The sequence below is a fragment of the Homo sapiens genome, chromosome 4 (assembly GCF_000001405.40).
Source record: "Homo sapiens chromosome 4, GRCh38.p14 Primary Assembly".
NCBI classification, from domain to species: Eukaryota; Metazoa; Chordata; class Mammalia; order Primates; family Hominidae; genus Homo; species Homo sapiens.
The window spans coordinates 73,982,863-74,009,841 of NC_000004.12; the positions used below are offsets into that span (position 1 = coordinate 73,982,863).

Consider the following 26,979-nt stretch of genomic DNA (forward strand, 5'->3'; position numbering starts at 1 on the left):
AGCTGCACTGTTGGTGGGGAGCAGTGATGCTCTCTGCAGGAGGATTCAAGGCATCTGGGAGTTGAATGTGAGAATGATGGGAGGTGACGGTGGAGGGGATGCAATAGAATCCCACATAGGAAAGGGGAAGAGATCCATATGGACAGTCTTCCCTTCTCTGAGAAAGAATGACTTTGGCTCTTGATTAGGGCAAGGTACACCCTTAACCCAAAGCCAGAGGTTCTCTATCACACTTATTAACAGTGGTAAAGGGTGTCAGGAGCCCACTGCATGGAAAGCTGATATTCTAATATGTGGTAGGACTGGACTTCTATAGAAATATGCAATTTAATTGTTGAGCTGAGTAATTTCTTCCTCCTACTCTCCCACTACCTGCCTTTTCACCTGACTAAGACTTATTTATACTTCCGGAGTCAGCTTAAGTGTCAGTTCCTCAGAGGGCCCTTCCCTGACAACTATATGTAATTGTGTTCTCTTGCCTTTCTATCTTGCAGAACTCTGTCTTTCCTGTTTCTCACAGGTAACACACACACACACACACACACACACATATATATATATTACACAGAGATACGTATGTGTGTGTGTGTATGTGTGTATTTCATAGTGTTAAAAATGGTTTTGTTTCCTAAACTGGAAAACACTATGAAATCAGAGATTATAACATTTATCACTGTTTCAGTGTACTGGTAGAGACTCAATTCAAAGTGCCACATTAGCGAAGATGATGTGTTGAAAATGATGATGATGAAGTTTTAACATATCCATGTATTTGCTCCTTCAAGCAATTGAAGTATACCTCTATATTAACATGTGTAATATATAGTTGCAATTATTTGCCTACTTATCTGCCTCTCCCACCACATAGTGATCTTTTCAAGTGCAATTCTCTGTGACTTACATACAGTAGTGCAGCACATAACATTTAGGTCAACAATAGACTGCATATATGACAATGGTCCCATAAGATTATAATGGAGCTGATAAATTCCTGTTGCCTAGTGATGTGATTCGCATTGCCTCATGGTTGTAAAGTCATAGGAAGCAGTGTATTACTGACATGTTTGTGGGGATGCTGGTGTAAACAAACCCATTCACTGCCAGTTCTATAAAAGTATAGCACATAAAATTATGTATAGTACACAATACTTGATAAGAATAACAAACAACTATGTTACTGGTTTATGTATTTACTATACTATACTTTTTATTATTATTTTAGAATATACTCTTTCTACTAGTTATAGAAAAAACATTAACCGTGAAACAGTCTCAGATAGATCCTTCAGGAAGTATGAGTTGTTATCATCTGTCTGTTGTCATAGGAGATGGCAGCTCCATGCATATTATTGCCCATGAAGAGCTTCTAGTGGGACAAAACAAGGAGCTGGAAGATAGTGATACTGATGATCCTGACTCCGTGTAGGCCTAGGCTGATATGTGTTTTTGCATCTTAATTTTTAACAGAAAAGTGTGAAAAATAAAAAATACAAAACAAAACAAAAAACAATTAGCCAGGCTCTATGGCTCATGAGTGTAATCCCAGCCTGAGAGGCTGGGGCAGGAGGATCGCTTGAGACCAGGAGTTCGAGAGCATCCTGGGTACCTAATCAGTTCCCTTCTCAATAACAATTTTCAAAAATTAGCTGGGCATGATGGTGCACATCTTTAGTGAAGATCAAGGAAGATCACTTGATCCCAAGAGTTTGAAGCTGCAGAGAGCTATGATCATGTCACTGCACTACAGTGTGGGTGACAGAGAAAGACCTCTTCTCTAAAATAAATAAATAACTAGATAAAAAAGAAAACGAGCTTATAAAATGACGATATAAAGAAAAAACGTTTTTGTACAGTTGTACAATGCGTTTAAAGTGTTATTACGAAAGTCAAAAAGTTTAAAAATTAAGAAGTTTATAAATAAAAAACACAGTAATCTAAGGTTAATTTATTGTTGAGGAAAAAATATTTTTTATAAATTTAGTGTAGCCTAAGTGTGTACAGTGTTTACAAAGCCTAAAGAAGTGTACAGTCATGTCCTAGGCCTTCACATTCACTCACCACTCACACTCCGACTCATCCAGAGCCACTTCCAGTCCTACAAGCTCCATTTGTGGTAACTGCCCTACAGAGGTGTACCATTTTACTCTTTTATACCATAATTTTACTATATCTTTCTACATTTACAGATGTTTAGATACTCAGATATTCACCATTGTGTTACAACTTCCTATGGTATTCAGCACTGTAACATGCTGTACAGGCTTATAGCCTAGGAGCAATAGGCTGTACTATATAGCCTAGGTTTGTAGTAGGCTATACCATTTAGGTTTGTGTAAGCACACCCTGTGATGTTCACACAATGACAAAATCACCTAATGATGCATTTCTCGGAATGTATCCCAATTGTTAAGCAAAACATGACTGTATTTTTGAATATCCTGTATCCAACACAATGGCTGTTGCAGAATGTTTTGTAATTCATATGTGTTTATGAACCTGAAACTTGAAGCCCCTTCTGAGTTAACAGCAGAGAGAATGAAGGGGAGGGATGATTTTGCATATGGATGGGCAACACGCTGGGTTTTTACAGTCTTACACCCAGATTTTAATGTTTGCAGTGTAAAGGAATCCAGGTGGTCCTGAGTGGCAACTGAATCATTCTTTCTCTGCATGTAAACAGAGTAACTCAATACATGCACTCAAAAACAGAAGACATCTGCATCTCGGGAGGTATAAGCATGGTGTCAACACTGTGCCATGTCTCAGGAGCTGGTCTTGTCAAGTTTCAGTGGGAAACCACTAAACATAATGAGTGAGATGCCTGATACCCTATAATTATTATAGTATATACAGTATGCTATTTATGTATCAAGTTGTATTACATGTGTGAATAATACTATGTTATATGTAATGTAATCTCTTCATTAGAGAAAGAAGAGTTGAGGAAAGCACTGTGGTGTGGTGGTTAAGAGCACAATTTGAAATTCCCACTCTGTTACCTACTTAGTTATCTGAAAGTGGGCAAGTATTTTAAACTCTATAAACTTGATTTTTCTCTTCTGTAACACTGGGGAGGATAATAATAATCATAAGAAATAATTACTAACATTTATGTGTGGCTTATTTATGACACACATTATTTTAAATACCTTAAATTTATTAACTTTTTTAATCCTTCCATAAACTCTATGAGGGAGGCAATATTATCCCCATTTTAGGGATGAAGAACCTAAGGTACAGAGAAATTAAGCAACATGACCTGATATACACAGCTAACAAGTGGCAGAGCCAGGTTACCTCATTATTCAAACTCCAGAGGATGTTCTTTTAACCAGATCATATCTATCTTTTAAAAAATTGTTTAGTTCATGCATGGAAAACACTTAGTATTCCTGGCATATTAAAATGATTAATAAATTGGAACTGTTATCATACTACATTAAGAATGACACCGATCATCAATTTAGTAACTTTTGTTGTTCAAACTGTGAAATACCAAGTATACAAAAAAGAGAGGAAAATTAAAGCTTTTTTTCCCCAACAATCCTGTTAAAATTAATAATAGATGACAACAAGTCAATAGCAAATTTTTATTTCATGTGAATATTTTTGTAAGAATAGTGTGGGTATAAGTTTTAGGGTTTAAAAAATGAATGAAAGTTCTGTTGATGAAAAAAGTAGAATTTAGAATTAGGAGTCTAGTAAGGTTGAAGTCCTATATTGTACTTATTTATAAGGCTCATTCTAATGATAGAATTATAACTATGTAGATATGTTAATTCATTTTCATCATCTATTTTTGTTCTACTAGTGGCAAATATATTCACTTTAAACCAGCTAACCACAGTTTATAAGATTCATATTCACCAATTTATTATTTTAGTGTTTGATGGCTAAAATAAACATCAGAATAAACTTTCAGGGAGTATTTTAAATAAGACATCCTAGGACTAAGACACTGAGAGACTCCATTAAGTTCCTAAATATATTAACAAAAATGTATTGAGCAAATATTCTCTGTTGGGCTCCATGTAATTCCTATTATCATTGACCATTATGAAATCTAATAATACCCATGAGTATGTCTAATAACCATAAAGTAGACCAGGAAAAATCAACCAAGTTGTGTTAGAATAGAAATTTTTAAAGAAAAAAATGCAAAGTACAGTCCAATGTTTAGGCAAGAATTAGAGGGTTGAAACCAGGCTTATTTATTTTCATCTTCTTTCTGCCATCTTTTAACCAACCTTCTCAGAATAAAATGTGATTTTTGAGACAGAATGAAACACATATCCAAATTTTAATACAGTAAGAATAGGTATCCTGAATAAATGAGAACTCTAGAAAATCAAGGTTTCAAAATTCTACCCTTCCTGGGAGTTAAAGAAGTTTGGCAGAAACAGAACAAATTAATCAGCAGATTCATCACCTGCCAATTTTTTCTGTACAATTTTCTTGATTCTGGGAGCATCTGGGTCCAGGCAGATTTTCCTCCCATCCTTCAGTGTGGCTCTGCAAAAGAGAACAGGGTTATCTGTGGGTGTCCTGATCTGAATATCAGAACTAATCCATGAGACTGGAGGAAACGAGTGCATATGTGGATGGAGGTAGAGGGTTTCTCTGATAAGGCAATAGCACAGAAACAGCAACTTACATCACTTCGACTTGGTTGCAATGGGTTCCTTTCCCGATCACTTCCAAACTTTGGATGTTTTTGGGATGAATTCCAGAGGTTGTCTTTATACACATGCAGCGGAGTTCAGCATACAAGTCACTGTCTAGACTTTCCTCTAGGGTAGAAAATGTGACCTATTGGTGGTCATGAATATTTTCCTCAGGTCTCTTATTTGCAGATTGAGGGCAATTGTACCTCTCTCATAAAGCCATTGTGAATATGATCTGTAACGCTTTAGTAAAGTGCCCAGAAGATTGCCCAGCACACAAGAAGTGAGAAGTGACCCCCCTGTGTGTCTCCTCCAATTGGAGTTATTGGTATAATGGCCCTCTCCAGCCCCAAAGGCACCAAGCTAGTCTTTACCCCAGAGACAGGTGTAGCAGAAGCAGCAACAAGTGCAGAGAAGCAGGGCCTCTACCTTTGCCTTTCGCCAAGTTTCTCTTAGTTTGTCCTTTGGTGGAGGAAGCCAGAGCAGTCAGCAGCAATGACAGAAGCAGCAGCACCTGCAAGGCATGAAGTGGTCTCGCACTGTTACAGGAAGGGGTGGTATCAAGTCTGAGGCTCATGGTGGAGAAGGCTGAGCTAGAGTTGTTTCCAGAACCAGAAGACCTCTGAGTGAGGGTGAGTTGCTGCCTACAAGTCTGCAGATAAGTGGCTTCTCATGCCCTGAAGATGTCATTTATATGCTCTTTCTCAAAGCCAGTAAGAAGGAAGAGGTAGGAAAGGAGGAAGTGAGGGTATGTGGTGATACACACATAAGCATTTGAAGCTGTGCCCAACCCAGAGAAAGACCAGACAGGTCAAATTCCTACTAACTTGCTTAATGTGCATCACTTCACATTCCCACTCTCCCTTTCTCAATACTTATCTTCCTTACACCTGTGTAAGAACTCCGTTCAGGAAGGTAAGAACTAGACTGAAATACTACATGCATTTTCTTTGTATGATTTATAACAATACGCCCTGCCTTTTCTATACTGCAGTTTTTAGGCTTAATAGAAACTTTAGGAGCACCTGAAGGCACAAACATGTGGCCCTTGAAAGAGAAAGTTATCTTTGCTTGCCAAAGAAAGCAAATGTTCTTTTCATGAATGTTGATAAATATTGGGATTGGTTTGGAGCATGTAAGTAAAATAAGAGCCAATTACCGTCAAAGGTTGTCTTTGGATTTTAGCTTATTGGATTCTTTCTGCCTTCAATCTATATTATCTTTTGTAATTTCATCTAGAAACTACAAATGAAACTCATCCTCCTTTATATTACAAAAGAAGCTACTTGTTTCTACCACCTAAGAATACCTAAAAAGTAGGACCCAGCATATTTATTTTTCTTTTTATTTTTAATTTAACAGAAAAATTATATAATTTATTGCAAAAGATTCGTATGCTGCAGATGTCTTTGAAATAAAACACAAATTTCTCTTCATCATTTCTCCACATTCCTACTATTCAGTGGTAAACACTGGTAACAATTTTGCATTAGTTTTCAATTCTGTCTGCACTTATATGCACACATGTATATGTATACAATGAGACACGTTTAAGACATAGAGGTACACATATACATAGAAGTATTGTATATGGATCACTATACAGCTGACTTTTATCCTTCAAAAAATATGTGTTCCTTATCTTTTCAGGTCATCTTAATGTAGTTTTCCCCCATTCTTCTTAATGACCATGTGACGTCCTGTGATAAGAACAATAGTTACTCAACCTTGCCTTGTTGGTGCCCTTCACGGTGTTTCCAATTTTGCACTATTAGAAATTGTGCAAGAAATGTCCTTACCAAGGAAAATATTTGTTCCTGAATTCTCAGACCCAAATTAAAGGTTTTGGTCTGAAATGCTATATCCCTACAAAGATAGAGAGGTGGACCTACACATTACATGTTGGCTTTATGTTATTTTCTGGTTCTCTGTCCCATCTGTAAGACTTCCTTCCTCAATTGAACCATGCACTTTTGTAGGGAGTGGCATGTCCTGTGTTTGTTTGAATGTCTCATGTATCCTATAACATGTAGGATACTTCAATATAAAGTAGGTCTTAAATAATTAATAAATCAATGAATACGTATCACATGAAAGCTTCCCTATCCTTTCTAATCACCTACAATTCCAGGCCAAACTCGACAGGACCCAAAGCAACTATGCTATTTAAATTTATTTGGAAGATTGTCAATAAAGAAGAGGCAGATGTAAGTGGCACTGGCAACAAGTTTTCTTCCTTTTACAACTATGTATAAGTCTCACAGAATATTATTTAAATTTTCCATATTCTTTTCTTACTTTTCATATCCTTAAATTTTAGAAGAAATGCTTAAAATACTAAATGTTCAAAATTACTCTCTATCAAAAAGATGAATATAGTAATTTTTTAAATCATGTTTTTGTTTTCAAGCCAATTTTCCCTATTGTTTAATAGTTATCTACTATGTCTACTCAAGTTCTCAGGTCCTGTTTTTAAATGCGATAACCTACAGACCACATTTGACAGTTTACTTTAGAAGTAAGCAGACTTCCAAATTAACTCGCCCTGGAAAGGTTTCGTGACTTGATGGTGACATTCTATCTCTGAGTAAAGTATTTTATTACGAGTTCCTCAAATGATTGATGTACTAATTACTGTAGAACCTACTGACACTAAATAGGACAATGATTTATTTCTAAGTTTAGCTGAAACAAAAAGTTTTATTGATTGTTTTGTATGTAGACATTTAGCCTGTATGCTGTAATCTGTAGCTAATGATTTTAACTTCGGTATTGTACCCTCCAATGAAAAAGAAGACAACTCTGGTATGAGGAGTTTTTCTGCCTTATTTTAAGCTTTTCTATTATATAAAGCCCTTGTAACTTGTGAAAGACTCTAGAACACCCCCAACTTTGTGGATGTGTCTTCCCAGGTCTGTCTTCCCAGTTGGCTTTCAATAAACATGTATAAAATTATTTCTGCCTCACTAGCCTTAGTTTCAGTTGATGAATGTATTTCTTATTTTTCTCCACCTCATTTATTGTTTTCTTTAAATTAGAGTTTAGCAGTAGAGCATATTTAATTGGAATGATTTTTCTCCCTGTCACAACATAGAAATTTCTAGTCTTAAGCAAGCTTAAAGGAAGGGTGTAAGCTGAGAGTTCGGAGTCTTCTGAGAGTTGAGATGTGGAGTTAATTGCAGAGATAAGCTCAGCAGGACACAAAATGAGGGGAGCAGACTTCTTTCTCTTTCCTCCTGTGGGGTGACTTTATAGCTTTTCTTCATTATTGAGATTGAGATATTGTGAATTCGCAAGTCATATACATTTTCAAACATAAGATCAAAGCCATTTCCAGAACAAGATATAAAGGTTTTTTTTTTAACACTATTCATAGTATATTTCATTTTCTGTTCAACACCAAAATACATTGCTGAAAATGTTTATTGGCTTCACTGGACACCTTTTTTCCCCCTACTTAACGTTATCCAGATTTCTTTCCTCGTTCATTAGTAAGATTTCCTAAAAGTTCCTAATCGTTTTAAGAAAACTGTATGAAAAGTTTTCTGAAGTAATGATGCTTTTGAGTGAGTTGATACCAGGAAAAAGGTAGGCTCTTTCCTACCAGGAAACCAACTGGTGGGTTAATACCAGGAAAGAGGTGACTCCAGTATCATGGAGTCATTGTCTTAATCAACAAATGTGGCTTGTCACGAAAGACACATCGTCGGCAAAATTCGTGAGGAAGTAGTAACAGATTTCTTGAGTCATCAAAATTTCTTAAGGATATCAGTCAGCATTTGATATAAAACAATATTTTGCTAGTTTTTATTAACTCAAAAAATATTGATTAAGCATCAGTTGATTAAGCCTGAACTTCCTAACAGGTTTTACGAAGTTCTCTTTGCATGACTTGGTCATTTAATTATTTATTTTTTAAAAGTCAGGCCTAAAATATTTGTGGAAAGCAATGGGATATGAAAAATACTCTACTCTTGCTGCTATGATGACAACTGCTGCTGTTAATTGCTGTTACTGTCATTTGCATCATTCCCTTCCATTTCCACGTTGAGAAACACAGTAAAGATGATGATAAACTGAGTGTACAAAACTGGTTAAAAGATGTTTTTAAAAACTTATTCAGTTAAAAGCATACTGTTATGCAAAATTATTGTTTAAATAAATGCTAGAATTAGAGAAGAGTTATTTTGTTCCTTGTTTTTAAAATAACTTGACAGCCTTTTTATTAATCTTACATTGTCATTGTGGGTTTGTATATGTGTGTGTTGGGGGGTGCTAAGTTATTTTAGCTCTTTTTTCTTTAAGTCATCTTATAAATAGCAGAGTCATGAAGGAAGCAAGCAAATTATCTAAGACTCAAAGCACATTTTATGTTAGCTATTTTAAAAGAAAATATCTAGAGACATTGGAGGACCACTATCTATAAAATTAAGGCATAAATGACTTCTCTGCCTCACACAGAACATTTTTAACGCACATTTCCCAAATCCTTCTTTCAAGTATGAAGGAAATAGACTAGCACAAGCAAATCAATCATAAAAGCAATTAGTACCAAAAATGCTAAGGATAGTACAATGTTGAGTCTGTTCATTAAAGTATCTTAATCAATAAATTTAAAATACTAGCCATCAAAAGTTTTTCTGTAAGGGCTGAAACCAAATGTGCTTACTGTATAACTATGAGTTGACAAGAATTGTTCAGATGTGAATTGAGGTTTTACTGTCTACTGCCCAGAGGTGAAGCATGGGGTGAAAATGGGAGGACAGTGGGGAGGGTGAAGAAGTTGAGGGGAAGTATCTTTCTGGGCGCTATTATATACAATACTTCAAAGTTTTGCCAGACTCAGAATTTGTGTTTTAAATTATGTTGATTAATATCATTTGTTAAATCTCAAATATATGAAAGTTACCTAGTTTCCTTACATGCTCATTCATTAAGGAAATTCTAACATAATGTTCTAGAGCATTGTTAACAAGTACCATTAATCCTCTTTTGTTGTGTAATAAGTCGACCTCATTGTTAGTGGCTTAAAATATTAATTTATTGTTTCTGATAATTCTGTATGTTAGCGTGAGTTTCTTCTGCTAAGCTCACTTGAGTGCAGTCAAGAGCAGCTGAAATGGCTGAAATAAAGAGTGGGACAATAGGGTGACAATAGTCAATAATAACTTAATTGTACATTTTAAAATAACTCATAAAGAATGTAACTGGATTGTTCGTAACCCAAAGGATAAATGCTTGAGGGGATGGATACCTAATTCTCAATATGCTTATTTCACATTGCATGCCTGTATCAAAACAGCTCATGTACCCCATACATATATACAGCTACTATGTACCCACAACATTTTCTTAAGAATAAGAAAAATAATAAAATAATTTAAAACAACATTTTAATGGCTTAATTCACATGAGAGGTTGTTGGTGTTGGCTGCTGGTTGTGATTTCTACTGGGGCACCTGCGTTCTTCTCCTACTCTTTTAAATATAATTATTTAACTTCTCACTAATAAGCAGAAATGAGGAATGGCGGGAGAGAAGGAGAGTAGGCAAGGGAAGGGGAGGGAAGAGAAGAAGAAGGAAAAGGAGAGAAGGAAGAAAATAGAAAGGAAAAAACAGGCAAGTCATAGTCCCTTCCAACACCCTCCTCCTCTCATCCTTGTCTCCTCTAGTCTTCTCTTTTCTAGTTCTTCCCCTCACCTCTTCTCCCCTTTCTTCCACTCTTCTTACTGGAAAATATTTGTTCTGTGGGAAAACTGAGTATATTTGCAGCAGAAAACCTTAACTTAGACTGAAAGTTCCTCATCTTTATAATTTCCAGATCATAAGGATCCTACAAAGATAATAGGCATGTAACAGGATTATCGATTAATATCAATAAATTAATATTTGATTGATGAATACTTATACAAAGGAAAATACATCATATATTTTGATAGGTACTATGTAATTGACAGAAAATATACAGAGAGTATATTGTTTCCAGAGCTTCTTTAAAAGACTCTGGTGGCTTATGCCTGTAATCCCAGCACTTTGGGAGGATGAGGCGGGCAGATCATGAGGTCAAGAGATCAAGACCATCCTGGCCAACATGGTGAAACCCCATCTCTGCTAAAACTACAAAAATATTAGCTGGGCAGGGTGGCACGCACCTGTAGTCCCTGCTACTCTGGAGGCCGAGGCAAGAGAATCACTTGATCCTGGGAGGCAGAGGTTGCAGTGAGCCAAGATCATGCCACTGCACTCCAGCCTGGGCGACAGTGAGACTTGGTCTCAAAAAAAAAAAAAAAAAAAAAAAAAGACTCATAGCCTATTCTAATATATACAAGTACATGCCAATATAAACATGTATAATGTAATCCAACTGGAGTGTGAATGTATGTACATACATACTAATATGATTAATCTTCTTTCTTTCCTTTTCTTGTGTTTCATAAAAGAGCAATTTCATATAAATACCTATTCTTAGGTATTTATATAGTAAATTTGAGGGACAAGGGAAGTTGAAGTACTGATCAAGATTGGGATGAGACAGAACCTCATTTGTCATTTAGATAGGGAAATGTTAAGTATAACCTAAGAATATGTATTTAAATGAAATTGCTCTTTTAATTTTAGAGTGACAAGGGGACTTGTTTAGCCAAAATCACTTGCTTTTTGAATACCTAGTATGTGCTAGGCACTGTCCTAGGAACTGAGATGAAGTTGATAAGCATTGTCCCCGCCCTCATGAGGCTTACATGAAGCTAGAACAGAGAGACCTTAAACGGATGACAATAAACACACAGGCTCAATAAACTCTACAGTAACTTCGGTGAGAAAACTTCATGAAGGAAAAGTACAGAATGCTATGAGAGGGTATAAAAGGGTCCTCCTCAAAGGTAGGAGTAAGGGTTGGAGAGGTTTCCTCAAGAAAGTAAAAGGCAAGCTATTCCAGAAGGAAGGATGGTAGCTACCCTGGTAAAAGTGAGGGGAGGTATTATAGATTGAGAGGATTGTGCATGCCAAACTCCTTGTTGGACTACTGCTAGACAAGGAGAAAAGAGGGTAAACAAGTTATAATTTAATTAAAACCGAGCAGGGTGGCTCATGCCTGTAATCCCAACACTTTGGAGGCTGAGGCGGGCTGATGACCTGAGATCAGGATTTCAAGACCACCCTGGCCAACATGGTGAAATCCCATCTCTACAAAAATACAAAAACTAGCTGGGCATGCTGGTAGGTGCCTGTACTCCCAGGTACTCGGGAGGCTGAGGCGGGAGAGTCGCTTGAAACTGGGAGGCAGAGGTTGCAGTGAGCTGAGGTCATGTCATTGGAGTCCAGCCTGGGCAACAGAGCAAGACTCGGTCTCAAAAAAAAAAAAAATGACATCTACCATGAACCAGGTTATTGAATTTAGAACAGTATCTGACAGCCTGAAGATCAGGATAACTTGTTAATTCATTAATTCATGCATTAATGCTACATTGGGGATGCAGCGGTAGATATAATATGGTTAATGTTCTGGGAGAGCTAGAGTGGATGAAGAAACCTATAAACAAATAAGAGCAATGCAGTTTTTTTGTTGTAATTCAGATAATGAGATGTCATGAGAATATCAAATCGGAAGCCATGAGCTCTGCCAAGGAGCTGGTATTACTTGAGCTGAGTTCTTAAGGATGAATAAGCCTCTTCTTATATGCAGGTAGTGGCCCTAGCAAATCCAAAGTCATGGGCCTAGGAAAGAACATGCCCAGTTAGGGAACTGAACACCTGACTATAGTGAATTTGAGGGACAAGGGAAGTTAAAGTGCTGATCAGGAATGGGATGAGACAGAAAGAAGGTCATCTGTCATGCTTAGAAACCTTTATTTTATGTTTAGGAAACAATTTAGATAGGGAAGAATTTAGATAGGGAAATATTTGTGTTTTCTAAAGACCCCAGAAGCCATTGGTGCTGTGAAGGGATAACTAGAAGGGAACTGAACTTGGAGAAAGGTTGAGCCAAGGAAATGGTATTGGGGAATGAGGGCCTTCTCTGCCAGTCAGAGAGGAGCAGAGTTAGTGTTTTAAATTACATAGAATTAAAGATAAGTAAAATGTATTGTAACAGTATAGGAAGGAGAAACAATATGAGTGAAGTTTAGAAATCTTTTAATGTTTATTCAAAGGACAAAATAAAGACTATGAACCAATGAGACACATAGTAAAAAAGTACAATTTTAATATAGTGAATGTAATATATATGTAATTACTCATAACAAAATGGTCAAAACCTTTAAAAGATACACAATAGGCATCTAAAAAGCTCAGCAATGCTAAATATATAATATATATTATATATAAATATATAATATATAAATACATACGTTTTTACCAAGAAATGTTTTATTTTTCTTGCAGTAGCTTTGTTAATTGCACAAAATTATGTTTTGTTTTTGCCATTTAAATATTATCACAGAATCCTATTCTGAAAGACAAATGTTCATTAAAAACAAAGCAAAAATAGAAATTCACAACCATTAATTACCTAGGTTTGTCATTTAAAGGTTTAAAGAAAAAAAGGGAGGAGCTTTCCTACAAGCCTTTTCACAAGTGTCACATTTTCTCTTTAAAAGGGAAGGATTTCCAAACAAAGGTGAAATAGCTTAAACAGAAATATTTGTAAAAATAAACTTTACAGCATTATCAAGGATATTAAGACAACACTGACTAACCGGTTTCATTACCGCATCTTCCCCCACCCCCAACCCCAGTGTGTCCCACCAGGACTAGAACAGGCTTTACATTCAGACAGAAATGCTTCAAAATCCCAGTGAAATGAACTGTGCTAAAAACCCGACAGGCATCTTCCCTGCCCTCCCCGCTCCCGCTCGTCTTCTGCAATCCTCTAACCCAGGTTCTACTCTGTGAAAGGGGCCAAAGCTGTGAGTGGGGAGGGAACTTGCCCCAGCGTGGCCACCTTATATATAATTATATATTCTACCATAAATGCTGGCCTTCTTCAAATTATGATTTTGGAAAATCTAACCCATACAGAGGGATAAAAAATTGACATCCCTTGGACAACTTCTCCTTGTTTTTTTTTGTTTTGTTTTGTTTTTAACATTCCAAGCTCTCTCTGGTCCCCTATCCAAGGAGAAATGCTAGGGCCTCGAGGATGTCGCTATATATTTTTATAACTAAATGATAAATTTATATTCAAATTGTTTGAATACGTTTCCAAAACTTTCAGAGTACAAGTCATTGTTAAGTTTGCCTTTACTTTAAAAACTAAAAGAATACATTTCTATATAAACTAGCAGTCAGGAATTTGCCTGTTTTCTAGCTTCTTCATCTATCTAAAATATATATTTAGCTACCAGAATTATGGTACTCCTAATAAAATACTTAATAAATAGCATATAAAATCAAAGTTTAAAAGTAAATGATGGCAGTTTGCCATACTAAAAAGATAAAGAATGTCTAAAATTATAGGAAGATAAGATATTAGCCCTCATAGAACTTAAACTTTTAGAAATTCTGAATAAGGAAATATATTCTACATAGATAAGGTGTGAAACACTCAGCTTTCTAAAGTGAAATAATTAAATAGTATCCCACAATCAAGAGTAAGGAAATTCTCTAACATATTCCCCAAGAAACATTAAAATATTTCCTATTTCTTATAAAAGTGAAGATAACAGTGTATTTCCATCAACAGAATTCTTATGAAACATCATTTCCACATTAAATCCACAGCCTTCTCAGTTAATATCTTAAGGAATATTTCTTGGAAATATAATAGTCACCTACAATTCAAGACACTTTGAAAGATTAACAGCCAGTGATTCCTGGCTCACACTATAGTCAATTGCCAAAACTTCAATAGCATAGCAGATAAAATAACAGCAAATAGCAGAGGTACTATGCTAAACACTTCATTAGCTGAGCTGAAAGCTTAAGCGGCAAACATAGGTTTTCCTCACACTCTTCAAAGTGAGGAATCCAGGAAGAAAGCTAACTACTGGAAAAACAAATAAACAAACAACAACAAAATCTTTCCTTCTTGTCTTCCCTGGGTTCAGAGACCTCCAGAAAACTTCTCTGCTGAAGACTGGGAAACTTTTCCATGCGTGCTCATTTCTCTTAATCAGTTTTCCTTGTTTCCACTGTTGAGAAAAATGTTATATTAGTTTAACCATTTTTCACACTCCTTTCTACTCCACCCTTGTCAAAACTCAGCGTTTATGATGTTTGGTAAAAAAGGAGAATACAAAAATCAATAAAAGCAATGGGTAAACAAAAAACATAACTTAGTGACAAGCTGTGTGTAATTGCTCAAGTAATTACATGTAAGATTGGTATATTTTCCCAGGACAATCCAGAAAAACTTTCCCAATTCAACAACCTTTTAATTCTAAACATGAAAAGTGTTACTTAAATCGTACAGAGAATAAAGACCTTGTGAAGTCTATGGTCTCCCTAGATCAGATTTAGAAACCACAAAGATCAAAGTGACAAGTACCCGTCCAAAATTTTCTGGATGACTTTCTTTAGAAAAGGGGCTTCTGGATCAAGACAAATTTCCTTCCCGTTCTTCAGGGAGGCTCTGAAGGAAAGAAAAAGAAGATACACTCATGAGATACCAAGGTTGAAGACCCAGGCTGCGGGATTTCTCTCTTGCCAAGGTCACAGCGGACACAGCAGCACAGAACTTACACCACTTCCACCTTGGAGCACTGTGGGCCTATGGCGAACACTTGCAGATTACTGATCATTTTGGGATGAACTCCTTGCGTGGTCTGTAAACAAACGCAACGCAGCTCTCTCAACACAGCAGCGGCAGGACCAGCTGGGGAAGAAAGAGAGACACCCTTTATAGGGCAGGTTGCTGGGAGAGTTCCCTGGAACGCAGCGACCCCGCAGAGGCTGGGATGCACCTCTGTGCCCGAGTGCGAGTGCGTCCCGCGCGCCATGCGCTCTCACCGCTGGCGATGGGCCCTGGCTGCGTCAGCAGCAGCAGCAGCACCAACAGCGCGCACAAGGAGCTCGAAGGACCGGGGACACGGGCCGCGCGGCTGGACAGGAGGCTCATAGTGGTCAAGAGAGCGCTGCGAGCGGTCGCGGGTTCCTGAACTGGGTGGAGGAGCGGAGATTGGAGGAGCGAAGATTGGAGGATCCGGAGCACTGTGGCTTCCTCGTGCCTTCTGCACTCCTTTTATCTACACTCATCTCTCCCCACTGACAGGAAACTCAAGCTTTGGGATGCTGGGGAAATTCCCTGAACTCATGGGGCAGTGTGGAAAGAAGAGGTTGGGGGAGGGGGGCCAGACAATGGGAACTGGTGGGGAGGGTGGCCAGGAGGAGCTGCGTGCACCTCTACCGAGAGGGACGTTGTAACCCTGCTCCGCGGTGGAGGGAGCTGTGGCTCCAGCTAGAAGGGAGTAGCTATTCAGCAGGATTCAGCAGGGCCTCATGGCCTGTGCCAGAGCGGGCTAGGGATGCCGGCTTTTCTGAGGCACGCAGCCCTCTGGGAGATGCTCCTCCTCTCCTTCTAGAGAGAAAAGGTGGAACCAAAGTAACAGGAGCCTTGATTTGAGAAAAATTTCTGAAAGTCAATCCTTTCTAATTATTATTACTATTAATCAGGAAATGTTATTCATGTTTGAATTGCTATAAACTGAAAGTCCTTCCTGTCTTCCTTGCAGGCAGGTCATTCTAGGTTTCTTGAATGACTTTATGAATCTCTGGACTTCAACCAGCTTTGGAAGCCAAGATAACATGATAACAAGAGACCCTTGTCTCTTGCCACTTGAAGTCAGTGGCCTGAAAGGACCACTGAATTTTGTTAACTCCCCTACAGATCACCTACTTTGGTAAGTCCGCTTACTGAGAATTCTGTACTTGTAGTATATAGCAAGTATACGTGTGTCCAGGTAGTTAAACAAAAATCTTCCAAAATCACCCAGCAAATTGCCATGGAAGATACCTTGCTATTGGCAGTTGCTATGCTATTGAATTGGAAGAGGTTTTGGTCTTGTTGGGGGTGAGGTGTAGTATGGTGAGCGCAGGCTAAAGCTTGCCAGGGATCCCAGGCCTGCCCCAGCTCTGTTCCCAGCCCCAGATATGTATTTGACACCATTTGGAGATGCTGTGGGAGGCTGATGAGTTTGAAGGGCTCATGTGAAAGCTTCTTGTAGGGGTTTGTATCAATTTGGCAGCACAACAGCACCCAGTCTGTTTTCCCTCAAACAACTTCACGGAGGGAGGAATGCTCCCCACAGGTTTCTGGAACCATCGAGTTTCATGATTACTGGTGACCAACGCTGTTTCCACAGGCCTACTCTAGTCCCCAGTGAGCCCTGCACTGCTGCCTGAAATTGAAGGGTGAAGTAGTTTCCAGCTTCCTCTCCCTCTCTCCTTCTGTTATCTGTGGAGGAGTTAAAGCACTGAAGGTTTAAGGGTTTTCCACTGTCTTGCTCCATGGCAGGAATGGGTTATTGTATTGGAATGACACATAGGCTTTCTTTCATGGAAATCTAACTAGATCCTCTTCTGGCTGGTTCTGAAGACCCTTGCCCTCACAGCAGACCAGCAAAGGTAATCAGTAAACATGATGGCAATGAGAAACCAGTCATGAAACACAACTCTTTTCCTTGTCTCCTATGATACTGGGAATTTTATTAACTCCCCCATCCATCACCTCCATTGGTGAGCAAGAAAGAGATGTCATAGACCTTAACAACTTTTATTTTGGAAGGAAACTTCAGAAATTCACTGGCTGAGTAAGGTTTGGTGGTATGGGCCTTACTCTGTGGGAAACTAAATGAGAAGTCTTCACAGCTTCTTGACATCACCAGCATCATACCTGACTCAGAAAATGTAATTCTTCATCTTTCTGGGGAGTGGTAATCTGTAGAAAACAGCCTGCAGATTTAGTATGTTGACGTTTTAGAGATTAGAGTGTATCGAAAGACAAAAGTTAAGCCTAGGTGAAGTGATAACACTTCAAAAAATCTTGGGCAATTAAATTCAACGTAACCACAGGGAGTAAACCATAGGATAAGACTTTGTTCTTTTAAAAGAAGTTTAATTACATAGGTTATTGACTTTTAAACTGTGTGTGTGTGTGTGTGTTTACGTTAGTTCTAAATAAGCTATTTTAAACATAAGTGAACACACGAATTTGTTTTTGGCGCCAAATGGTGAAATCTGAGATGGATCATGAGAAAAGATTGCCAGTTCCTCCTGACGGTCTTATAAATGTATATATCTCACCTGGTTTGCACTCTGAATCAATTCACTGTAGCTTGTTTATGGAATGCAAGAAGAAAAAAAACACTTCTTTAGCTGACAAGCACATGATAGAAAGTCCCCACTAGAAATGGGCTGTTGGGTTGCCCAACCTAATCAGGAAGCAATATGTCACTTAAACTGGCTTCCCATGGAAATCACTCTGGCCCACTGCCCATGTCTGGTTCCTATATAGGCATCTTGGATGTTGGCTTTGTACAAACGTGGATGGTCCAAAAGTCCTCTAAGGTTGAGTATGACAGCACCAAGAACCACTGAAGACACAGCACTTTAACAGTAGTTGCTTCTTTATCATCAGTTTAAACAAAAGCCATTTGTCTTACCTGCACTGTATCCAGGTGGTAGAGAAAAACTCTGTTATTTTTGTTCCCAACTAAAATAGAATAATTCATCCAATGGTATCAGCATCCTGACAGCCTGAAGGCTTAACTGTCTGTCTAAAGCAATCCTATTTTAGTCATTATACCACAGTATAATGTAATATAAACTAATACAGTATAAATGATTTTTGCCTTCCAAAACACTTAATGTTCATTATTTCTTGAGCCTCACATTGATTCTTGGATAAGAGAAATTTTCTCCCCCATTTTGCAGCTAGGCAAAGTAAGTAGAGCATGAGTTAAGTAGTAGAAAATCCAGCACTGGCAGTCAAGCACCAGAGAATCTGCCCCAGTAATTTTTAATGGTTTCCAGATTACAAACCACTTTCTTCACAATTGCTGGCAAACACCCCCTAGCAGCTCTCCCCAATCTGGCTAACCACTTTATTGTGTTTCCCAACAACCATATTTTAAGCTATTGATATCCTCAGTCCTTCCACTCTTGCCTTTGAGATTGCAGTAATATCAAGGGTCCTAGAGGCTTCCAAGGTATTCCACCTGAAACTGTCCTCTGCTTTCTATTTATTTTTTTATTTTATTTATTTATTTATTATATTTTTTATTATACTTTAAGTTCTAGGGTACATGTGCAAAACATGCAGGTATGTTACATATGTATACATGTGCCATGTTGGTGTGCTGCACCCATTAACTCGTCTTTTACATTAGGTATATCTCCTAATGCTATCCCCCCACCCTTCCCCCACCCCACAACAGGCCCTGGTGTCTGATGTTCCCCTTCTTGTGTCCAAGTGCTCTCATTGTTCATTTCCCACCTATGAGTGAGAACATGTGGTGTTTGGTTTTTTGTCCTTGTGATAGTTTGCTGAGAATGATGGTTTCCAGCTTCATCCATGTCCCTAAAAAGGACATGAACTCATCATTTTTTATGGCTGCATAGTATTGCATGGTGTATTTGTGCCACATTTTCTTAATCCAGTCTATCATTGTTGGACATTTGGCTTGGTTCCAAGTCTTTGCTATTGTGAGTAGTGCCACAATAAACATACGTGTGCATGTGTCTTTATAGCAGCATGATTGATATTCCTTTGGGTATATACCCAGTAATGGGATGGCTGGGTCAAATGGTATTTCTAGTTCTAGATCCCTGAGGAATTGCCACACTGTCTTCCACAATGGTTGAACTAGTTTACAGTTCCACCAACAGTGTAAAAGTGTTCCCATTTCTCCACATCCTCTCCAGCACCTGTTGTTTCCTGACTTTTTAATGATTGCCATTCTATCTGGTGTGAGATGATATCTCATTGTGGTTTTGATTTGCATTTCTCTGATGGCCAGTGATGATGAGCATTTTTTCATGTGTCTGTTGGCTGCATAAATGTCTTCTTTTGAGAAGTGTCTGTTCATATCCTTTGCCCACTTTTTGATGGGGTTGTTTGTTTTTTTCTTGTAAATTTGTTTGAGTTCTTTGTAGATTCTGGATATTAGCCTTTTGTCAGATGAGTAGATTGCAAAAATTTTCTCCCATTCTGTAGTTGCCTGTTCACTCTGATGGTAGTTTCTTTTGCTGTGCAGAAGCTCTTGAGTTTAATTAGAGCCCATTTGTCAATTTTGGCTTTTGTTGCCATTGCTTTTGGTGTTTTAGACATGAAGTCCTTGCCCATGCCTATGTCCTGAATGGTATTGCCCTAGGTTTTCTTCTAGGGTTTTTATGGTTTTAGGTCTAACATTTAAGTCTTTAATCCATCTTGAATTAATTTTTGTATAAGGTGTAAGGAAGGGATCCAGTTTCAGCTTTCTACATATGGCTAGCCAGTTTTCCCAGCACCATTTGTTAAATAGGGAATCCTTTCCCCATTTCTTGTTTTTGTCAGGTTTGTCAAAGATCAGATAGTTGTAGATGTGTGGTATTATTTCTGACAGACAAACAGAGAACCAAATCATGAGTGAACTCCCATTCACAATTGCTTAAAAGAGAATAAAATACCTAGGAATCCAACTTACAAGGGATGTGAAGGACCTCTTCAAGGAGAACTACAAACCAGTGATCAATAAAATAAAAAGGACACAAACAAATGGAAGAACATTCCATGCTCATGGATAGGAAGAATCAATATCGTGAAAATGGCCATACTGCATAAGATAATTTATAGATTCGATGCCATCCCCATCAAGCTACCATGACTTTCTTCACTGAATTGGAAAAACCTACTTTAAAGTTCATATGGAACCAAAAAAGAGCCCGCATTGCCAAGTCAATCCTAAGCTAAAAGAACATAGCTGGAGACATCACGCTACCTGACTTCAAACTATACTACAAGGCTACAGTAACCAAAACATCATGGTACTGGTACCAAAACAGAGATATAGACCAATGGAACATAACAGAGCCCTCAGAAATAATACCATACGTCATCCTCTGCATTCTAAATCCCTCACTTTCTTCCAGACAGATTCAAAGTCCTTTCTTCTTTGAAAAGGCTTATTCTGACAAAGTCATTTGTAGGGTATTCCGTCCACCTTTGCTCTTTGAACATCTAGTATACTTGTAATAACTACCTCATGAGGCAGAGTTTAATTATTCCTTAATTTTGCCTTTGTCTTCCTCAAGTCAACTATAAACTCCTTAAAATCAGTGATGATGTCCTGCATTTCTCACATAACCTCCCATAATTTCTTAGTGTAGCAGTGAGCAGTCTGTGAATACTTGCTGATTAATAATGATAATTTTTTTTTAATTTTACAGTGTTATTTACCTTACAAGTAGATCTTAAAGAGAAAAGGATGGGGCTGTTTACTGTTATTAACTCCTCTATTTTTCTAACCTTTACAATTTTGAATTGGCTGCCTCCTATATGGGAAATTATTTCTTGGTTATTCTTAGAGAAAGTTAGAATGATATTAATATTTTCATTCTTTGGAATCCAAACTGTTCAGAAGAATGTTCAGAACACAGAAAGACATTTTATATTAAATGAAATAAAATTATACAACTAAAGTATTGACCAAATAACACAGACCAAATAGTTTCTGTGACATTGAGATTGTAGGATGTAAATGACAAGGGGAAATTCTGATTATGTTATACTGTGTTGAATGTTAACAGTGTGGGTATGTCATTCTAAATTGATCTTTTCCAACAAACCATAGAAGCCTTTAACTCTGTGATTTAGTATTTGGCATAGGCCTTTTCAAATGTTTTTTTAAGGTTCTTTTTTTTTAATATCCAATATTCTTTGTATTACCTTTAAGAAATGCTATACAATTGCAATAACTAAGGATGTGAGCACATTGTTATCAGGTTAAGCATATCGAGGTTATCAGTATAAGGAAGGCAATAAGAGTTTAAGTGGAGGATAGAGTTGCTTGTATGCAAAAGAAAAGAAAAAAGGTAGTAACTCTTGGGTTTATGTTGCAATGTAAATGCAGTTTGTCTGTTTCCTTCTAAATTGGTCTGGCAGTCCAATGAAGAAGCAGCATCATCCAGGGAATAACTTTGCTTCAAAGTCATTTCACTTTTTCTATAAAATGTCAGGAATATTTTCTTTCCTTTGGCCAGTTATCTAATTTTCCTTGCTGCCCGTTTCAGGTAATATCTGTTGGAGGAGCAAATCAGTGAGCCCTGATTGGGTCTATACCGAGCTAAACTCCAAATAATCATAGCTGGGCTTTTCTTTCCCACCTTCTGTGTGGATGGGGCAGCTAGTTATCTACTGTATGACTGTGCAAACCTCAGAAAAGTTTTTGTTGACAGAAAGAGTTGATACATGGAGAAAATAAGATCAGAATGTACGTTTTAAATATTTCTGAAAGCCTTGAGCATCTCAGAAACAGGAAGTCTTCGTTGCTTTCTTCAGAAATTTGTTCTGGGCTAAGTGAGCAAAGCACTTTTTAATGTCAGATATTTTAAATAACTTGGAGAAGGCATTTCTATGATACTACAAAAGTCCTTTATGTAAACTAGATTTCTAATACTGTGCTTAATAATGCTCGTTTGAAATATTATTTCTGATCACTATTACCTTCACAACTTGTATTTGTTTTAGCAGAATATTATCTTTTGCATAACTTCACAATATATTCAATTCTTATTTACTATATAGTAGAACCTCATCATTGCTGTTTGAATAGTAATAATTGTAATATATTTGTATATGTGTGATTTATGTAGTTCCTAGACAGTCAAAACCATCTGTTTTCCTTCCTTGTCGCTGCTTGGAAAACCTTTGAAGAGTTTCTGATGCACATTTAAAAGTATTATCTCAGATGAAAGAGAATTCATTATGTCAGACCTACCTCAAAAGTTTTAAGTTTGTTCTTAAGTCACTTTCAGAGAAATGAACAATCCAGGAATAAATCTTTTAATTTACTCTACCTATTGTGGTTACTAGAACAAGGCACCTTTTTGATAACGAAACAGGAATCCTTTCATTCCTGGAATTTCCTGTTGGGAGTGTAGAGTTTTCTGAGCAATATGTAACGTTGGTTAGTTAAGCAATATGTTGTATTTTACTGCCCGCTTTGTTTAAAAAGGGTGTGAGAGGCTTTGATCAACAGGAATGTGAAGTCAAAGTTAAGTATGGCATCATCTTACCACCTGTCACATGAATAAACCTGGATTCATAAGCAAAAAAAGAAAAAAAAAGAAAAACTAGCAAAGACCTAACATCTGATAAGTATGCAAAACAATGGTCATGAACTTAAAGGACAAACACACAGGCACACCACCACCACCACAAGCCTCATCACCACATCACCAAAACAAAGATTTTAAAAAACTGAGAATAGAACATGTCTTATAGTTTATATTTTCCCATCAAATTTTCATTAAGTCTGATTATGAATTCCCAGTGAATAACTGCTTTCATGCACATTTAAATATTCTTTTTACAAGAATTGGGAATTAGAAAATTGCTCACACTGGCAAAAAAAGATGTCGCAATGCCAAGCCAAAAGTCACAAAATCCTAGAAATTCTGGCTAATGTTCGACCATGAGTTTCTTACTAGCCACTTGGGATTTTAAAGCATGACTTCCTCTGGAGGGTAAATTGACCAAATTGCTTTAACAAAATATTTTATTTTGAATCATTTCAGTTTCCAAAGCATTCAGTATTAGTAAATCAGACTGGGAGTAATTTCATTTGGAACATAATGTCCCTTGGAAAGAGTTCTGTGGTTTTTCTCTAATTTAAATTTGAGGCCAGACTGATGAATGCTATGACCAGGGATTATGTCATAGAACAGAGAAATACAGTAATGGCTCACATATTAGAAATAGACCACAAGCTAGTATCTGTCACAGTGTTGCTAGGTACTAGATAGTTCTTTGTAATAAATGAAAGTTGTGGAAGTTTCATATCGAACTATATCTAGTCAGCTTTCTGCGATGGTTTGAAATTAAAATAATTACTTTAATTGAGGCAATACTCAGAAAAAAATGGTTCCTTCAGCCACCCATGAATACTTCTCTTATCCGAATTTAAGTCATTCTTCTGCCACAAACTTTCTGTATGATCTCAAACAATTTACTATTTATTTAAATGAAAATACTAATATCAGCTTTCTTCTCCATAAAACTATTCAGAAGAACAAAAAGGATAGCTGTGAAAACTTTTAAAAATATTTTTTCTTCTTTTATGTTTTACATTGATGTAAAATTTTCACAGTGAGATGTACATATCTTAAGTGTACAGTTCAATGAGTTTTGAAAATGTAAATAGCTAATCAAGAGAACATTTTCATTTTTTTTCAGAAAATCCATGCTTTTTCCATTCATTCTCTTCTCCAGAGGAAATTGCTGTTCTGATTTTTAGTTTTGCCTACTCTTGAACTTTTTAAAAACGGAATCATCCAATGTGTACTCTTTTATGCCTGGCTTTTTTTTGCTCAACTTAATGTCTGTGAGATTCACACATGTTATTGTGAATATTAGTAGTATACTTTGTATTCAATTAAATATTCATTGAATAATTCAAATTAAGCATTCAATTGTAGAAATATATGCAGGTTTATTTATTCATTCATCTGTTGTTGGACAGTTGGGTCATTTTCAATAGTTTGACTATTATGAAGTGGCTGTAAACATTATTATATAAGTCTTTTTGCACATCATAGGAAAAGATTGCCATAAAATTATTGTCACTCTTCCTATTGAGATGTGGCACCTATGTTTCATACCCGTGAATCTGAACTGGCCCTGTGGCTGGTTTTGATCAATATAATTTGGCAGAACTGATGCTGTGTAACTTGTGCAAGGATATCTACAGCTTCCACCTTGGTCTTTTGGAATGATTCTTCTTGGAACCCAACCCCTGTGCTTTGAGAAGCCTGAGCTATGTGTAGAGGCCGTATGGAAGAGAACCAAGGCACTCCAGCTGATGGGCCTCACTGGGCTCCCAGCTGAGAGCCAGCACCAACCTGCAACCGTGTAAGCAATCGTCTTGTACTTTCCAACCTAGTCAAATTTCAGATGTCTGCAACTCCAGCCACATGGAGCAAAAGATTCACAGAGATGAGTCCAGTCCCCTATCAACCCAGATAATCCTGAGACAATAAATAGCTATTGTTTTAACCCACTAAGTTTTGAGATAATTTTTTACACAGAAACAATCAAATTATTTATTTTCACTTCTTCAGGATAAGTATTAGGAATAGAACTGCTGGACCATATAATACGTGTGTATTAATCTTTATAGAAAATTACCAAATTATTACCAGAGGTAGTTTTACCTTTTCATACTCCTACTAGCAAAGTAAGAGTGCCCTGGTTTCTCCATATCCTCGTCATAACTGTTTTTAAATTTTTAGCTACTGGCAGTTATTCATGCTATCCCATTGGGTTTTTAATTTTTATTTCATGATTACTAATAATGTTGAAAACTTTTCCTTGTGTTTAATTATCATTTGTAAATTTTCCTTTGTGAAATCTATTTACAAATCTTTTGTCTATTTTGTTGTAAATTGAGTTTTTGCCATTTTATATTTGTCGGAGTTAATTGTATATTGTAGATACAAGTTCTTTGATTGATAGATAAATGTATTGTGCTTTTTTTTTTTTTTTTTTTTTTTTTTTGAGACGGAGTCTAGCTCTGTCGCCCAGGCTGGAGTGCAGTGGCGCAGTCTCGGCTCACTTCAAGCTCCGCCTCCCGGGTTCACACCATTCTCCTGCCTCAGCCTCCTGATTAGCTGGGACTACAGGCCTCCGCCACCACGCCCAGCTAATTGTTTGTATTTTTAGTAGAGACAGGGTTTCACCGTGTTAGCCAGGATGGTCTCCATCTCCTGACCTCGTGATCCGCCCGCCTCAGCCGCCCAAAGTGCTGGGATTACAGGCGTGAGCCACTGCCCCCAGCCCTTGTGATTTTTTAGTCTATAGCTTGACTTTTTATTTTCTTAAGAATGTCTTTGAGGAGGAGAAAGTTTGAATTCTGATAAAGTCAAACTTACCAATTTTTAAATGATTAATCCTATTTTATGTTTGTCCTCTCTGAGAAATTATTGTCTACCTCCATGGTTGAAAGATATTCTTTTGTAAGTTTTCAAAAGTTTTTGTTTACCTTTTATATTCATATATATAAGCCATATTGAATTAATTTTTATAAATGATCCAAAATAGTAATTGAGATACATTGTTTCACTTTTTAATATAACTGTCAAATTATTATAACAAGATTTTTGAAAACTTTTCTCATTAAATTTACTCAGAACCATTACCAGAATTCAATGATGGCATACATGTGCATCTATTTCTAGACTTTATTTGATTTCATGGTCTATGTGTCTCTTCTTACACCAAATGTCCTTATAAATCTAGCTTTATAGTAAGCCTTGAAATCAGATAGTGCATCAGCTAAAGGCTGTAGCATTGGTCAATTTGAATGCTTCCTTTCTATCTTTAGCTTTTAAAATGGCTTCCTTCCTTTAGCATCATATCATATTGAATGGAGCATCTGGGATCTCCATTTTGAAGCATATGTCTGTAGGCAGCCATAGCCCCTCCAACAAATCTTAAAGAAAAAAGCAAGCATCAAAGCCAAGCCAATCACAGCATTATAGCATTATTACAGGCATTGCAAGTATAACAGGTTAGCATATATGTGCTTGTAGAAATGAAGTGTTACCATTCTTGTAGTTTAAAATGGTCAGGGAGAACTCCAGTTAGTTTCTATTTAGTACCACCAAGTACATGTTCGGCATTTCTTTTTATAATTACTATTGTCCCCATAAGACTATACTTTTTATTTTGAGGAAATTGTACAGGCAAACCTTCTTTATTGTGCTTAGCTTTATTGCACTTCACAGGCGTTGCATTTTGTACATGTTGAAGGTCTGTGGCAACCCTGCATTGAGCAAGTTTATTGAGAACATTTTTCCAACAGCATTTGCTCACTTTGTCTCTGTGTCACATTTTGGTAAATCTTGCAGTATTTCAAAATTTTTTATTGCAATTATTTCTGTTGTGGTTCTCTGTGACCAGTGGTCATTGTTGTTACATTGTAAATGTTTTGAGATGCCACAAACTGTGTTCATAAACAAGGGTGAACTTAATCGATGAATGTGTGTGTGTGTTTTGAATGCTCCACTGACTGGTCATTCTTTTATCTGCCTCCTTCTCTTTGGGCCTCCCTATTCTCTGAGATATAATAATATTGAAATTAGGCCAATTAATAACCCTACAATGGCCTCAAAGTGTTCAAATG

General features: G+C 37.1%; 2 protein-coding genes and 1 long non-coding RNA gene across 3 annotated transcripts, besides 2 other annotated features; 1 reads left to right on the top strand and 2 right to left on the bottom strand.

Annotated features, from left to right (window-relative positions):
• Nucleotides 1,981-2,494: an enhancer, noted in NCBI's record as "OCT4-NANOG hESC enhancer chr4:74850560-74851073 (GRCh37/hg19 assembly coordinates)". NCBI's record gives its function as "activates a minimal SCP1, AML or CMV promoter by ChIP-STARR-seq in primed H9 embryonic stem cells {active_cell/tissue: H9 hESC(primed)}" and the evidence as "EXISTENCE:reporter gene assay evidence [ECO:0000049][PMID:30033119]".
• Nucleotides 2,495-3,007: an enhancer, noted in NCBI's record as "OCT4-NANOG hESC enhancer chr4:74851074-74851586 (GRCh37/hg19 assembly coordinates)". NCBI's record gives its function as "activates a minimal SCP1, AML or CMV promoter by ChIP-STARR-seq in primed H9 embryonic stem cells {active_cell/tissue: H9 hESC(primed)}" and the evidence as "EXISTENCE:reporter gene assay evidence [ECO:0000049][PMID:30033119]".
• PPBP (pro-platelet basic protein) lies at nucleotides 3,577-5,328 on the bottom strand. The gene is made up of 3 exons (NM_002704.3): nucleotides 5,094-5,328; nucleotides 4,655-4,790; nucleotides 3,577-4,512 (listed from the first exon to the last, which is right to left on the bottom strand). The coding sequence occupies exons 1-3, from the start codon at nucleotides 5,239-5,241 to the stop codon at nucleotides 4,410-4,412; spliced, it is 387 nt and encodes a 128-aa protein (NP_002695.1). The 5' UTR covers nucleotides 5,242-5,328; the 3' UTR covers nucleotides 3,577-4,409.
• Nucleotides 5,329-12,779: 7,451 nt separating this feature from the next.
• On the bottom strand, nucleotides 12,780-15,815 carry CXCL5 (C-X-C motif chemokine ligand 5). The gene is made up of 4 exons (NM_002994.5): nucleotides 15,611-15,815; nucleotides 15,344-15,476; nucleotides 15,150-15,233; nucleotides 12,780-14,793 (listed from the first exon to the last, which is right to left on the bottom strand). The coding sequence occupies exons 1-4, from the start codon at nucleotides 15,717-15,719 to the stop codon at nucleotides 14,775-14,777; spliced, it is 345 nt and encodes a 114-aa protein (NP_002985.1). The 5' UTR covers nucleotides 15,720-15,815; the 3' UTR covers nucleotides 12,780-14,774.
• On the top strand, nucleotides 15,366-24,855 carry LOC124900715 (uncharacterized). The gene is made up of 2 exons (XR_007058140.1): nucleotides 15,366-16,500; nucleotides 24,033-24,855. It is a non-coding gene; the product is annotated as an uncharacterized LOC124900715 (long non-coding RNA).
• Nucleotides 24,856-26,979: the final 2,124 nt, after the last annotated feature.